Consider the following 15357-nt stretch of genomic DNA (forward strand, 5'->3'; position numbering starts at 1 on the left):
AACGATTTTAAAAATTTACAGAAGGCACACATTCCTTTGAGCATTGCTATCTTTGTTCCATAAAGATGCAGTCTGAAATTCCCTTTTTATTATTTTTCTATTTAATGAACATCCTTACAAAGTGATTTTGGCCAAGTGTCAAGTGAATGTAGTGCTCTTGTGCACATTGTTGTGATAGGCATTTTGTATACAGGGTTTAGAGGTATACCCTTAAAGATACAGTGAAGTCCTATGGTGTTTGTTCCTTGTTAGAGTGGAGGTGTGTTTACCTTTGGCGCTGGTTCCTGTGGGCAACTTGGACACGACTCCATGAATGATGAGGTTAACCCTAGAAGAGTTCTAGAGCTGATGGGTAGTGAAGTAACTCAAATTGCTTGTGGCAGGTGAGTGTTCCTCAAAGCTTGCTTGTATTCACTAGGACCCAGAAATTGGTCTTATCTTTGTAGTGATGAAGAATGTGATTATACCTAGTCACCGTCATTTTAAGAGATCTTAACTGCATGCACGCCTATGGTGAAATGTGGAGAAAGACCTTGATAGAGTGTGGCAAGGAAGGGTTTTAGATAAGCAGAGCAACACGGAGACATTAGGCTTCTTTTGGGATAAAGAGTAGCAGGATGTGGGGAAGGGATAAAGAAAGGAAAAGTGAGAGAGTCCCAAAGAACTTCTTGGAAATTTTTGCCTGAGTCTACCCTGCTTCTCTCTGTTCATCTTAGAGGCCACATGCAGTAGATCATTCAGCTCTTTCCTGACTTGCCACCCTCCTCATGATCTAGAGTGTTAGAGGATAGTATTATGGAGAGCAGCCGCTGCAAGAAGAGTCACGTGTTAACATGGGAAAGGCTCTATAGGAGCACCCTGTGCTGTGCACATGTGGAAGTTAAAAGTCAGAGTCAGAGTGTACATCCACATTAGTAGAAACTATGCTGATGAGTTAAATTATTTTTTCACAGACAACATACCCTAGCCTTCGTGCCTTCTTCTGGACTCATCTATGCATTTGGTTGTGGAGCAAGAGGTCAATTAGGAACTGGGCACACTTGTAATGTTAAGTGCCCATCTCCTGTCAAGGGTTACTGGGCTGCCCACAGTGGCCAGCTTTCAGCCCGAGCTGGTAAGAATGATTGTCTCTGGAATTTAAAGGTATTTTAAGTGATGAAAACAGTTGTTTACAGAATATGTATCTATTACTTACTTTGAGGTCTTTTGGAGGGAATGAAGATAAGGTATTTTTTAACATCAATTAATAATTTCTGTACTTACTATGCATGAAGCTGTAGAGTTGAGATCCTAGAGAATAAATAAAGCAGGAAATACTGTTGTGTTAGGCCGTTCTTGCATTGCTGTAAAGAGCACCTGAAACAGGGTGATTTATGAAGAAAAGAGTTTTAATTGGCTCACAGTTCTGCAGGCTCTACAGGGAGCATGATGCAGCCATCTGCTTGGCTTCTGGGGAGGCCTCAGGAATCTTACAGTCATGGCAGAAGGCAAAGAAGGAGCAGACACTTCACATGGCAGAAGCAGGAGCAAGAGGAAGAGTGGAGAGGAGGTGCCATACTTTTTACACCACCAGATCTCATGTGAACTCAGAGCAAGAGCTCACTTATCACCAAGGGGATGGCCCAAGCCATTCATGAGGGATCCGCCCTCATGATCTAAACACATACCACCATGCCTCACCTCCAACATTGGGATTACTGCAATTCAACATGAGTTTTGACCAGAACATACATTCAAACTATACCAGTTATTTTGTTTCCACAGACCTTGGTGGTGGTGTATACATTTTATTGTTGTTGCTAATAATGACAGTTCGCATGTATTGAATGCTTAATGACGTTTCATTACTATGCAAAGCACTCAAAATAATCTAAGAACTAGTTAGTGGTTATTATCCCCATGTTAGAGATAAGGGAACAAAGTCTTAAGGAGGTCAAGTAATTTGCCCAAGATCACATAGATTCTGGAGGCAGGATTTAAACCCAGGTCATTCTAAATCATGTGTACTATGTTACCTCTACTTTGCTGTTGGCATTTTGGTATATAACATGATGTGATTTCTTTTTAAGCCATTTTTTTTCTTCCCTTAAAAAATAGTTAAATAGCAGTCTTGGTTTCATTGGAAATCAAAGTCAGGCAGTCATTAATATTGAATGACTGCTTCACCTTGAAATAATAAATCTGAGGCTGAAATGGAGCTAGAGAATCATTAAAAGGAAGTGTAACTTATTAATTTTGATTTTGAAGTCGATAAAGTGACACACTTATGGCTTGATCAGGAATTTGTTTGAAACAGTAACCATCATAAGTTTTAGTACTGGATTATAAGAAACTCAAGGACACAGACAAACTCTTTTCCTTTTTGTAAACCTAGCATATAGCACAGGACCTGGCATGAACTTGTCACTCAGTAGACATTTTTGGAATGGATATATGAGCATCTGAAATGTAGTGCAACTTAAAATATAAATAAACAAGATTTTGTCTGGGTGATGTTCCCAGAAGCAAAAGAATGGCTTTGTGTCCTCTTCTCTGTAATTTGTAAATTCTTTTCTCCAAGACATTGTACTCATACGTGGAATACATTTATTTAGAAAGTTTACCAACTCAGGTGTTTTTTGGTTATTTCAAAACCACAAATTTTTGAAGTTGAATTATAACCTGACTTCCATGGTCCTAAATTTGTGCTTGGATGTTTGCCAAAATGATTTTATAACATAAGCAGGTAAATGTCAGTTATGTAAATGACATGGTTTTAGGAACCCTCTTGGTAATGTGGGAGCACAGAGGAAGGCATGGAGGAGTATTGTGGTTAGAGGAAGTTTGAGCTGTGCCTCGAAGGATGATTTGGAGTTAGCCAGGTGTAGAGGACTGTGAGGGAGTTGGTGTGAGCACCACCAAGGTGCAGTTCCAGAAGCACATTCAGGTTGTGCTCTCGGTGGGCACATTCATGGAGAATCCCATGTGCCAGGGGCAGCAGAGGGGGGAGGCACCGAGATGTGAAATAGTGTGGTGTATTAGAAATAAAGGCAACGTGGTAGTAGGAGAATGTCACCGTGGACACAGTGTGATGGGAGGTAAAGCAGGGAGCAGGAAACGGAGGTCCTTCCGTGGCAAGATTCGTCCTGACGGGGCCTGGGCCCACCACACTCACATGCTGAATTGTTACCATAAAGAATAGTGCCCATTTCAGATTTCAGGTCAGTGGCATGACAGAGTTAGAATGAAAAAGAGAAACTAGGTCAGGATTCACTGGCAGTTGGGGAGGGGCAGAAGAAGAGTTAGAGTGGAGGATACCATTTTATATATTTATTTTTAATTGAAGTAGAAACAGTCCTAGGCAGTGAGCCAGGGGAGAAGATTTCTTACTTCTGTGACACAATTAAAATGGATAGGTACCCACTCTGAAGTGTATTCTGCGACAGTAGAAAAGGGGATCAAGGAGAAACTTCAATTAATGAAAAATATGCTTTCGGAATTTTTTTTTTGACAGATCGCTTTAAATATCATATCGTTAAGCAGATCTTCTCTGGAGGAGACCAGACTTTTGTACTTTGCTCCAAATACGAGGTAAAATTTTTCTTGTGACTCTTATTTCCAGGAAGGAATAATAGTGAACCAACATTTCTTTTAACAAGTAATTACAACATAAAGAGCAATGTTACTCTTTGTTTCTACCAATCCTATGTTATTTTTAAAATAAGCAAACTAAATCTGGAAGAAGTTGTCTCCATTTGGCTCCCTTGAAGTGCCAACAATTCTCCTGGAATTATGGAGTTCTAATTTATAATTTGAAATTATTTATTTATATTTGTACTTGTTCCAGAAACTCTGTAAAGGATGCCTAGGGAGTTGGTGCTTACTTTGGCATTATTTGATTTTCCATTTCTTTTCTTCCCTGTTAAGTGGCAACAAATGCTAGGTGTTTGAGAACTTGGTGGGTTTCTTTGTTTGATGTGATTGAGTATATATATGTATGTAAGAGGTACCACAATTTTCAGATGTATTTTATTATTTGTAATCTGCTTATGACATGACACCAAAATTTCCCTTCCATTGTCTCCTGCATCACTATAGTGGATAAAGACACTGTGACATTGTCTTTCTGCCTGAAGGTAGAGTGTGGATCCAGGTTTCTGTGACAGGGCTCGAATTCCTTCCACTCTTCCTTGCTGGGGGAATTCAGTCTGGAAAAACTCCACAGATTTGTTGTCAGTGCTGGACTCCTTCCCCTGTGCTTTCTCTCCTCTCTTCTCTTCTTCCCCACCCTTCCTGCTTTTATTCAGCAAACATTTCAACAGGACCAGCTCCGAGTGGTGCATGGATCCTTATACTCTCTTGGAGGAGCAAGGGAATGGGCTGTTAGTGAAGAAAAAGGAGTCAGAATTGACTGGGAAGATAATGAGCAACTGTGGAAACCAGGGGCTCTTTCTGTCTTGGAAACTTTCTCTATTAGTTTGATACTTAGCTATCTTTAAGTACACAAAGTATTTGCCTTCTAGTCATTCTGATTCTGTGATTAGGTTGGAAAATCCTGGTGGAGCCCGAGGCTGTAGGCTGGACAGCTAAAGCTGATGATTAGCTATTTTCCAGGTCAGGTGCCTGAAGAAGGTGGCTTAGTGCTACCATCTGGCGTGATTTGGAACTGCTGCCCTAGACTTATTTTAGACCCAGCCTCAGAGTGTGTATTACAGAGAAATCCTGAGGAAGCTGAGGTTTTTCTTTGTTTCTTCAAGATGTCAATAAAACAAAATACAAAAGGCACTGACTCTGTGGAGGATAATCAGTTTTTGTCCATAAGTAATAGAGTTTTAAGTATTTATTTCCCCTAGAAACTAGTATTGAATAGTGTTATTCAATAGTATCCAACTTTAATTTTCCTGTGAAATTTAACATGAAATTTAGTTTTCTCTTGTAAATATAGTATCTGATATATGTAACTGATTTTTATTATTGTAATCAACACCTTGGGCCTGGAAAACAACACACTGATGAGAAGGAAGTGAAGTAGCATACTATTAGAGAGGCAGGGCAGGTTAAAGTTTAAACAACTGGAAAGAGGGATAGGTATGCATGAAAAGTGTAAGATCACAAAGAAAAAGGAAAGTAAACATTACTTAAGAAGATGTTGCTCTTTCTTTTGAAACTGAAACCTATGCACATTTACTTAAACTATTAACCAGAGATGATTATTTAGATACAGAGGCTGATCAAATCATATGCTTACCCTGTTACCATATCACTTAAAGAACCAAGAAAAAGCACCTGTATAGTTACAGCCTCTATTTTTTTTTTTTTGAGATGGAGTCTTGCTTTGTCGCCCAGGCTGGGGTACAATGGCGTGATCCCGGCTCACTGCAACCTCCACCTCCTGGTTTCAAGCGATTCTCCTGCCTCAGCCTTCTGAGTAGCTGGGATTACAGGCGTCCGCTACCATGCCTGGGTAATTTTTTTTGTATTTTTAGTAGAGACCAGTTTCACCATGTTGGCCAGGCTGGTTTTGAACTCCTGACCTCAAGTGATCTACCCTCCTCGGCCTCCCAAAGTGCTAGGATTACAGGCGTGATCCACCACGCCCGGCCATAGCCTCTATTTTTATAAAAGGCTGACTCATTCATTACTGCCAGGCCTTAGGTGAAAGAAGGGAGGGAAGGAGTTATATTCAGATACCCCTTTGCTACACTGATTCTAGGTCTTGGGAATTTAGTGAATGTAAACCATAGCATCTCCTTTTCCTGTCGTTTTGTTCCCTGGATAGAATTGAAGAGGGAATGTGGTTGGGATTGTTAGAATTGTGTGTGCATGTGTGTGTGTTTGTGTGTGTGTCTATCTCATAATCTTCTTTTTCCTGGAACAGTGATTCTTAACCTTGGCTGCCTACTGGAATCACCTGGGAGCTCTACAAAATACTGATGACTCTAGAGATTCTGATTTAATTGGTCTGGAGTATGACTTGGTCATCAGGATTATTGAACGCTCCCATGGTGATTCAAAGTCCAGCCAAAGTTGAGAAACACTGACCTAAGAGCAATTTTTCCTTTTTTGCCTGTATGTATTAAAGACAGGAAGAATGATGTTTTTTCTTGGTTCTTTAAGTGATTCTGAACTTGTACTTCACCCAAGGCATCTCTGGTTTATTGGACATATGATGAGGAATGATAAAATAGTTCCAAGTCTTTATTTTATTGTAGGTTTGTGTTAGAGTTGATGTTCAGCTGCCCCTTTGAATGGGGGAAATAAATAAAATTTACGTAACAACAGTGGTTTTACAAGGAGGTGGAAAGACAATCTCTGTGTGTACTCCAGCATCTGCTTTGGATTATGAGTTTCCTGTATGTTGTACTTCAAGATGATTTTTGTTCTCTCAATAGATATCTGTGGCCATTTTAGTAGAATAGTTATCAATAACCAGATGATCACAAACTTTGTCAGGCATCTCTGTTTTATTACATGCTCTACTCCTTCCTACCATAATGATACGTTAACTTGAAGCTATGGGAAAGTAACCAAGAAAATTTACTTTGAAAGTTATGTTTTTATGTGTAGGTACAAAGGAGAAAAAAAATCTCATGAGCTGATGAATGAGTGCTTTAATATTACCTTTTTCCTCTTCACTGGAGACGAGAATAGGAGTATAAAGCACCATCAACCTTTCCTTAGTTCTCGATCAAGAACAAGGCTTGGGGAAAATAAGTTGAAAACAAGCAATTTTAGAAAAGGAAAGTGCTTATTATGTTTTTTTTCTTTAATCTCACTGAATAAAAGATGTACAGTGTTGGGCAACATTTGGAATTTTCAAGGACATACATTATTAACATCTTTTTCTGCCATTTTTCTTATAATAGCTATATACTTGAAGCAAGAAATTAAGAGTCATTGTTTTTATAGGTTATTTGTCATATAGATTATAACTGAACTCTGGCTCTTTTGTAATACATTTTGTTGAAGTTTGGTGGACATTTATGGCAGATGACTAATACCTTAAAAACCTGCTGTTACAGTGATTCAAAGCAAAGGGGAAAGAAGTCTGGGAAAGTTGTACTGAGTTGGTTTCTCTGGGAAACAGACCCGAGACTCAAAGGTTTTTGGGAGAGTGCTTTCTAGAAGAACATCTACTGAGGGATGAAGGAGGCAGGATTGCGCAGAGGGAGGGGTTGAAATGCAATTCAGTTATAACAGAGGCCTCAGCCAGTCCCATGAGGAGCACTGAAGTTGTGATGGTCCTTCAGCCAGTCCTGAGTTGAGGCAAGCGGGCTGGACCTTTACACCATGCCTCTACCTGCCATTGGATGTGATAGTGAAGCAACAGTCAATGCCAAGTCCTGGACAGCAACCCAGCTGGGATCTGTCAGGAGCCTCCATTCTGAAGGGTGGAGGGGATCTGGGCGGCACACTGCAGCATTTAGATCATAAGTGAAACGTAAAATGGAGAATATGTGGGAGAAAGGAGAGGAGACAAGATCCATGCTACATAATTTCTTCTTTTTACTGTTACATTTAATTCTCCAGAATTATTCTCCTGCTGTTGACTTCAGGACTATGAACCAAGCACATTATACCAGTTTAATAAATGATGAAACCATAGCAGTTTGGAGACAAAAACTCTCAGAACACAACAATGCAAATACAATCAAGTATGTGGCTGCTTGTCTTCATTTTTTTTTCCACAAAGTATGTTACAACTTTTTAGCTTAGTGTGATTTTCCGTACTTGCATATTGATACTGTGAATGTAAATGGGGTTTTACATTATAGGGAATCGTGGGTTATTTTTGGTTACTATTTCAGGGTTGATCTCCTTAGCCCCAAATAGCATAATGGATGGATCCCCAATTCTCACACACAGTATATGCCTCAACCTGCCTTGTTTATTGTATGATCTTAAAAATCCTGACTGATGAAGGCCTGAGTTGGTGATTCTGCTAAGAGAGCTTAGCGTTATGGTTAACTCCCATGGGTTTTAGTGTATGCATGTTCCAAAACATCCCAAATCTGAGACAGCTGTTATCTTACCTAATCTTAATAATTTCTAGCATTTTCCTATTCATAATGATTGAGATGGTAATTCAGAGTCATGTAGAAAAAAAAAAAAACAACAGTAAGTAGGATTGAGAGCTTTTATCAAATTTAAAGGACAATTTTCCTTTGCACATTTTTACACATTTTCATTGGCTTTCCTCAGCCTCTCCACTTTTTTCTGCAAAGTCTGATTCTTGGGAAGAATAAATCAAGCTCTGTGCACTAAGTTGTGGTTATTCCCAGAAACGTACATAATGGTTCCTGCATTATGACATAGATTGTAGTGGGCCAAATGACCAGGACGCTACACTTTGAGGCACTTGAGCTAGTAACGTTGTGAGTGAGAGAGCATTAGAAACGCCCTAGAGCAGCTCTGTGGCAGTCTTCAGAATCCCTCTAACCTTAGGATGGCTCTGCCAAGGAGCTCAGGCTGAAGGGTCGCAGGGGAGAGGAGATGAGGGCTTGCTGGGGTCCAGCAAGGGAAATGGTGACACTTTACCATTAGTTCTCTGTTTTCTTATTTATAAAATGAATGGATGGAAGACATGATCTTTAAAGATCTTTCCTGATCTAAATTCTGTGATTAACAGAAACTACTGTAATCCCCTCCCCAGCTGTATATTTGTGTTATTCTTTCCCTTTTCCTTACACTGAATGGAAAGGCCCAGGGTTCCTGATGTCCAGTTTCATTTTGGGCCCTCAGAATTAGCTGTTTCCTCAGAGCCTGTATAATAGAAGGTAATGGGAATAAGCACTTGTTTCACTATTTTTTAATTTATGTCTCAGATATGCAGCAAAATAGAAGTAATTTTTCAGTTATTAATTTGCCAAGATAATTTCTGTGTTCGGGAAGTAACAGCTTGGCTTCTCTTTTTTGGTTTTATTCTGTGTTTCTCTTTGGAGTTTAGATAGGGCACTTCTTAGATGGTTGGTGGTAGAAAAATATTCAAGAACATTATTGGGACAAGAGGTTTTCTTTCAGGAGCTTTGATATTCTTTTTTTTCCCCTAACATGGGAAACTTAAGTTCTTCTTCATTTTGAGATGTGACATCCTGTTTTTCTAAAGCAAATGTACATTTTCCAAAGCTTCAGCTGACAAAGAGCTGCTATTAATGAAATCCTTGAGTAGATGGTTACTTTATTATTGATGCTTAAATAACCATTTATTTGTAATTATTAAAGGCTTCCCCCTCCCTTCTTTTCTTTGAGCAGTGGTGTTGTTCAGATATTATCTTCTGCAGCCTGTTGGAATGGAAGTTTTCTTGAAAAAAAGTAAGTGACTTAGAGCCTTAAAAAACCCTCACGTGTACCTGTAGTCTCAAGCTATTTGGAAGGCTGACACAGGAGGATTGCTTGAGTTTAGGAGTTTGGGGCTTTAGGATGCTGTGATCATGCCTGTGAATAGCCACTGAATTCCAGCCTGGACAACATAGTGAGGCCCCATCTTTTTAAAAAAAGTTTCTTAAAACCCCACATGTGATGCAAATACTTACTCAGCAAAGGCTGTGAAAGACTTTTCTTCTCTTTGATGGTGGTTGGCCTTAATTTAATGAGTAAGCTGATGCTTTGCGCAAAAATTGGAAAGCCTAATAATGGTAATGAGAGGATTTCAGGAAGAGCAATGCTGATTCATACCTGGATGGCAGAAAAGCAGATTACCGAGAGAGACTGTATCTCAGAAATAATTGGTAGAATCATCAGTAAGATTTTCAGAGTATTCTAAGATGTGTCATAATTCTAAATTCTTAATTCCTCAGATAATTTTCTTGATTTCTTTGGTTTGCTTTCCCACAGTTTTAAAATTTTTATTATTTTTTATTTTTTTCTCTCAAAAGGAGTGAATTTCAGGGAGTAATTCTAAGGAGGCTTCAGGGGCTCCTTGGATTTAGGTCCAGCCCAGCTCACCAGAGAATTATATTTGAGGTTGAACTCCCCAGTAGTAAATAGAATGTTTATTTGCTTAGCCTTATCCCTTCTGCAAATATCTCCCTCAGGAACCTGATGCAGCAAAAGAGTCTTGTCATGGGTTTGGATCTTTGGTAATCCCAAGTCCTAATTATTTCTCAGTCCTTTCTGCCAGTGACCAGGCTATATGAGATCTCAAGATGAATTAGACTTCATTTCTGTGTGTGAATCCCACCCCTACCCCTCGAGCCCTGTGTTACTCAAGGTTCTTCAGAGAAATGGAACAAATAGGAGAGAGATAAATAGATAGATGGATGTATCTAGAGAGAGGGAGAGGAAGAGAGGGGATTTACTACGGGAATTGGTTCACCTGATTATGGAGGTTGAGAGATCCTGCCATAGGCATCTGTAATCTGGAGAACCAGGCGAGCCAGCATCATAGCTTAGTATAAGTCCAAAGGCCTGAGAACCAGGGAAGCTGATGGTGTAACTCTCAGTCTGAGGCTGAAGGCCTGAGAAATGGGTGGGGGCTGCTGGTGTAAGTATTGGAGTGCAAAGACCACAGAACCTGGAGTTCTGATGTACAAGGGCAGGAGAAGAAGGATGTCCTAGTTCCAGAAGAGAGAAATAATTTGTCTTTGCTCTGCCTTTTTGTTCTGGGCTTTCAGCTGACTGGGCGGTGCCTACCCACACTGAATGAGGATGGATTTTCTTTACTTAGTCACTAATTCAAATGCCAATCTCTTACAGAAAACTGACCCAGACATACCCAGAAATAATACTTTACCAGCTATCTGGGTATTCCTTAATCTAGTCATGTTGACTCCTAAATTCAACCATCACCACCCCCTCCCCACAAATGAGTCCCTAACTGGGTTGCAGGAGGTCACTTCAGAAACTCTCTTTGGTTACATTTAGAGATTATAAAGTCATTTACTTTTATAATTAAGGCAGCTGGGATGAGCTCACACAATTCATTTCATATTTAGTAATTAGTTTTTTCCTCTAGGGAAAGATATTCTGGATTATGCTGATGTTGGCCTTCCAGAACAGGGGTTCTCAACCAGGGTGATTTTGCTCCCCAAAGGACATTTGGCAATTTCTGGTAACATTTTTGGTTGGTACAATGGGGAGGGACTTGCTATTGGCATCCAGTGGGTAGAACCCAGCGATGCTGCTAAACATCCTTCATTCCCACCTGCCCAGCAAAGAATCCTCTGGTCCCAAAAGTCAATAGTACCAAGGTTGAGAAACCCCGTTCTAGATGGATAGCTTTCATGACATTTGGGAAGGGCTCTTGGCCAGACTTGTTAGGTTGTTCATCCTTAGTATCACAGATTTCGTATAGAGTTGTGGGGAAAGCCTTTTATTTTTTTTCAAACTGACATCTGTGTATTTCAGAAAGTCTACTCCTGTAGCGTACATAGGATGCATCTCAGGAAACCAATCAAAATGAAGACCAGATTTACAAAGCAATAAATACGTATAGATAAAACATTTTGTTTTTGTTTTCTCAACAGCATAGCAAAAAGCATATGGAAAATTACATATGGGAAACCAGAATTCATTTCTATATTTTGGGCAGATTTATTTTAAAAACAATAACAACAACAACGAAAGACCCAAAAAACAAAGTACAAGCAATTTATCTTCATTTGAGCATAGGGTTCCGATACATATAATTATGATTTTTAAAAAATGTTAGAAACTCTTATGTTTTCAAAAATTATAACATTGCTGTCAGAGTGTATTAAAATCATCTGAATGTGTCCATTACTCAAAAACAGAAGCCTGCTTTGCAAATAGATAGCTCTTTTGTAAATTAACAAATGTGGTATGTTCAAGAGCAGGATATATGAGATATTCTCTAAGTCTCAAAAATGCTAAGATTTTATTTAAGGTTAAAAAAATGATTTAGTTGCTAGAAAGTTAAAAATAGTGGCAATGAAATTAGTCCTTGGGTGAATGTAATTGTATCCTTTGTGTTAACGATGAGAGACATTAACTTTGCATTTACTATAGATCATTTTTATTTTAAATACTTTGGTAAGAAAGGCTTTCAACAAGGAAGTTCTACTGTCATTTGTTGATGAGTGGACCAGTTTGCACAGGGGACGTTATTTGTACCAAGCCACAGCATCTACATCTAGTTCAATGAGCCACAAAAACAGAAAAAAACCAAAAAACACAAGATGAAATCAGGGAAATAATTATTTGTTTATAAACTTCAAGATAGCCTTAACTTGATATGACAGTCCTTGTACTTTGACTTGAAGGAAAACAGATTTAAAAATTTGAAAATTCTTGTAAAAGGAATTCCAGTGTGGTTTATTCTTTGTGAAAGAATAATATTCTGTATTTTGGGTTTATTATTTTGAGATTTATGCAAAGTGTAGTATTTTTGTGGATCTTATCTGCCAGATCAAATTTAAATCTGATTACTAAGAACACAGTATTTTACTTGTTTATAATTCCTATCAGAGTGTTTGCTTTTTCTTTTATTATATACCTTTTTGATTTTGTTTGTTTAGAATTGATGAACATTTTAAAACGAGTCCCAAAATCCCTGGGATTGACCTGAACTCAACTAGGGTGTTATTTGAGAAGTTAATGAACTCTCAGCACTCCATGATTCTAGAACAGGTATGTTTCTATATTTGTAAAGTGCATTCTTAAAAATGCATTTTTGTATCGATGAATTCAACTTCAAGAGAAAAAGAGTAAGATGAAAAAGTGAAAGTCTCCAAATCTTAATTTTGTAAAGTATTTACTCTGGGAATTAGACCTACCTTTTGCTTTCTTTTGGCTTAAACCTTTCCAAGGCAATGCCCCTCTAGAATATACAGTTTGCACTGGCAGGGATCTTTGGCTTTTCTTTTCATGGATGTGTACTGAGGGCCTAGACCAGTGTCAGGCTCATAGTAGGTTCTCAGTGCATAGTGAATGAATGAGAGTTGAGAGTCTATCAAATAGCTTATGAACTTAGAGAAAGTTAACTAGATCTCAAGTATGTTTGAATTTCTCATTACTCTTTTCCCTCATACAGATTTTGAACAGTTTTGAAAGTTGTCTGATTCCCCAGTTGTCAAGCTCACCACCAGATGTTGAAGCCATGAGAATCTATTTAATACTACCTGAGTTTCCCCTACTCCAGGATTCCAAGTATTATATAACATTGACTATTCCCTTGGCTATGGCCATTCTTCGGCTGGATACAAACCCCAGCAAAGTACTAGGTGAATTTGCTAACCTCGATATCAGTGGTTTTATGGTCATTTGTTTTGTTGGTGTGACTCCTGGCTCTCAGTGGATTGAGATCCAAGAATCTATTTGTTGCCATTTAATATCCTTAACACTTAAAACCTTTTTTTCTTTGCTGTTAATTTTTAGCTAACCCTATTTTCAAGTTGAAAATAAAACCATTATTTAGATTATTTGAAATGACTCATGCCAGAATAATCTTGATTTTATAGTATTCACAAACCTAATTTATTTAACTTGAAACTATTTTTTTCTACCACATTTGCTCAGTACCTCAGTATTACTGTACGTTGGTCTTTCTCCTATGTCTAATTTAGGGGGTGGGAGTGAAGTGAACAGTTTCGGTGATACAGAGGTCTCCAAAACAGGAGAGGAAGAAAATGACCTAGTGTGGACTTACCAAATGTTTGTTTTGTTTTTCTTTTTTAGGACCGTTGAGTCCACACTGATTTTTGCAGGCTCCGGACACTTTGCTGAGATAAAAACCTTCCATTCCTCAGTGATTTGGAGAGTGTCTTTCATGGGAGTAGCACCTGAAATGTTTTTATTACTCAAGTGCAGGAAGTCTATCACCTGGCTTTTTACTTTTTTCCCCCCTGGTAAATTTTGTTAGGTGTCATTGCAGCTCAGTAACTTCTGTGTTCCAGATGGACTGGGATGTTACTTGAGTGTGGTCTCGCCGTGAATAAAGAGATTGTGTTCCTGAAGGTGGAATACTGGCTTTTCTATATTGCCTCCACCTTTGTAGAAGAGATAAAAACAGAAATAATAATGAAAGCACTAGTAAATGTTAGTACTTAATTTTTTTTAAGATCAAAAGCCTTTTGGGGGCACATTTTCTCAGGTGTTCTAGTTGATGTGAAACAGAGAGGTGGCAATATCAGAAGAAATCTTACCTGACTTTCAAGTTTTAGAGTTTTTTCATTTTTATTTTTCCAGGCTGGAAAATACAAAGAGAACATAATTGTTCAATTTTACACTTTATTTTTAACTTCTAATTATTGATATTTAAAAGAATACCCCAAAGTAGAGAGTATGCTACAGGTAGTCACCACACAAATTCAGCAGTTGTCAGTATTTTGCCCATTTTATTTCATCTGTCCCTCGCCCTCACCACCTTTTTATTTTTTGTTGGAGTATTTTAAAGGAAATCTCAGACATACTATTTCATTCTTTAAGTATTTCAGTATGGCTGAGTTTATTTCCAACGAAGTATAAGCCAGTGGTATATCTTCTTGTCTGGTTATGAGAAAGCATTTTTTGGTGAGAAGTAAAAATCGTAGTTTTTCAACTAATGATACCTCTTAAAGGGAAGGGAATGGTTGCCATATTGGTGCTGCTTCTAGGGTATGTGGTGCGTCATCCTTTGCATTTCTGCTTCAGGATTTAGTGATGGCTGAAAGCGCTAGGACATAAGAATGCTTTTTGGATTAATACATTGGGCATCACTCCTGCCCAAAATATGTGTATCTTGTCCACATGTAGTCTGGAATTGGACTTTTAAGTTAACCTTCAGATTGAGTCTTTGCAAAAAATCAGACCAGGCTTTACAAAAAAAGCTCCAGGGATTCTTTTACAGCTGTTGTTCTCCCCAAAAAGGTTTTAATGGATTCTTTTTAAAGTCAGTTTTGGGAAAATGTATTTTAGACTAATGTTTATCTTCTAGACAAAGCAATTTTTAACTGGCAGGCAGAAGACATAAATACTTGCCCAAGATTACATGTTGAAATATGTCTTTTCTTTCTTTCTAAAGATAACTGGTGGTCTCAGGTATGCCCGAAATATTTCATGAAGCTGGTAAACCTCTATAAAGGTGCAGTCCTTTATCTACTGAGGGGAAGAAAGACATTCTTAATTCCCGTACTGTTTAACAATTATATCACAGCAGCTCTCAAACTCTTGGAGAAGTTATATAAGGTGAGCATAGGAGGTGCTAGTGGGGAGGGGGTGATTAGATGGTAGGGTAAAATGTCCTAGTGAGATGTTCTCTGGGAAGCCATGTTTCAGTTGTCTGTATTTTGTTCTTCATTAGGTAAATCTTAAAGTGAAGCATGTGGAATATGATACATTTTACATTCCTGAGATTTCCAATCTCGTGGACATTCAGGAAGACTACCTCATGTGGTTCTTGCATCAAGCAGGGATGGTAAGAATTCATAAAGCATATTTTAA

At 38.5% G+C, this 15357-nt stretch overlaps 1 protein-coding gene across 10 annotated transcripts in view, besides 1 other annotated feature; it reads left to right on the forward strand.

Moving 5' to 3' along the window:
- HERC3 (HECT and RLD domain containing E3 ubiquitin protein ligase 3) overlaps positions 1 to 15357 on the forward strand; it is a 184697-nt gene that overhangs the window by 131079 nt on the left and 38261 nt on the right. For 9 of the 10 annotated variants that reach the window (NM_001375483.1, NM_001375482.1, NM_001375479.1 and 6 more), the window contains 9 exons: positions 253 to 383; positions 954 to 1114; positions 3494 to 3570; positions 7510 to 7634; positions 9232 to 9291; positions 12456 to 12567; positions 12971 to 13160; positions 14939 to 15102; positions 15218 to 15331. In NM_001375483.1, coding sequence (NP_001362412.1) covers positions 253 to 383; positions 954 to 1114; positions 3494 to 3570; positions 7510 to 7634; positions 9232 to 9291; positions 12456 to 12567; positions 12971 to 13160; positions 14939 to 15102; positions 15218 to 15331 — 1134 coding nt within the window. Of the gene's footprint in view, positions 1 to 252; positions 384 to 953; positions 2514 to 3493; positions 3571 to 7509; positions 7635 to 9231; positions 9292 to 12455; positions 12568 to 12970; positions 13161 to 14938; positions 15103 to 15217; positions 15332 to 15357 lie in introns of those variants that run through there. The other variant, NM_001318505.2, reaches the window with a different exon arrangement.
- Positions 9054 to 10253: an enhancer, noted in NCBI's record as "MED14-independent group 3 enhancer chr4:89585126-89586325 (GRCh37/hg19 assembly coordinates)". NCBI's record gives its function as "activates an origin of replication core promoter dependent on BRD2, BRD4, P300/CBP and CDK7 cofactors, and independent of MED14, by STARR-seq in HCT116 cells {active_cell/tissue: HCT116}" and the evidence as "EXISTENCE:reporter gene assay evidence [ECO:0000049][PMID:35650434]".

Source organism: Homo sapiens, chromosome 4, assembly GCF_000001405.40.
Source record: "Homo sapiens chromosome 4, GRCh38.p14 Primary Assembly".
Classification (NCBI taxonomy): Eukaryota; Metazoa; Chordata; class Mammalia; order Primates; family Hominidae; genus Homo; species Homo sapiens.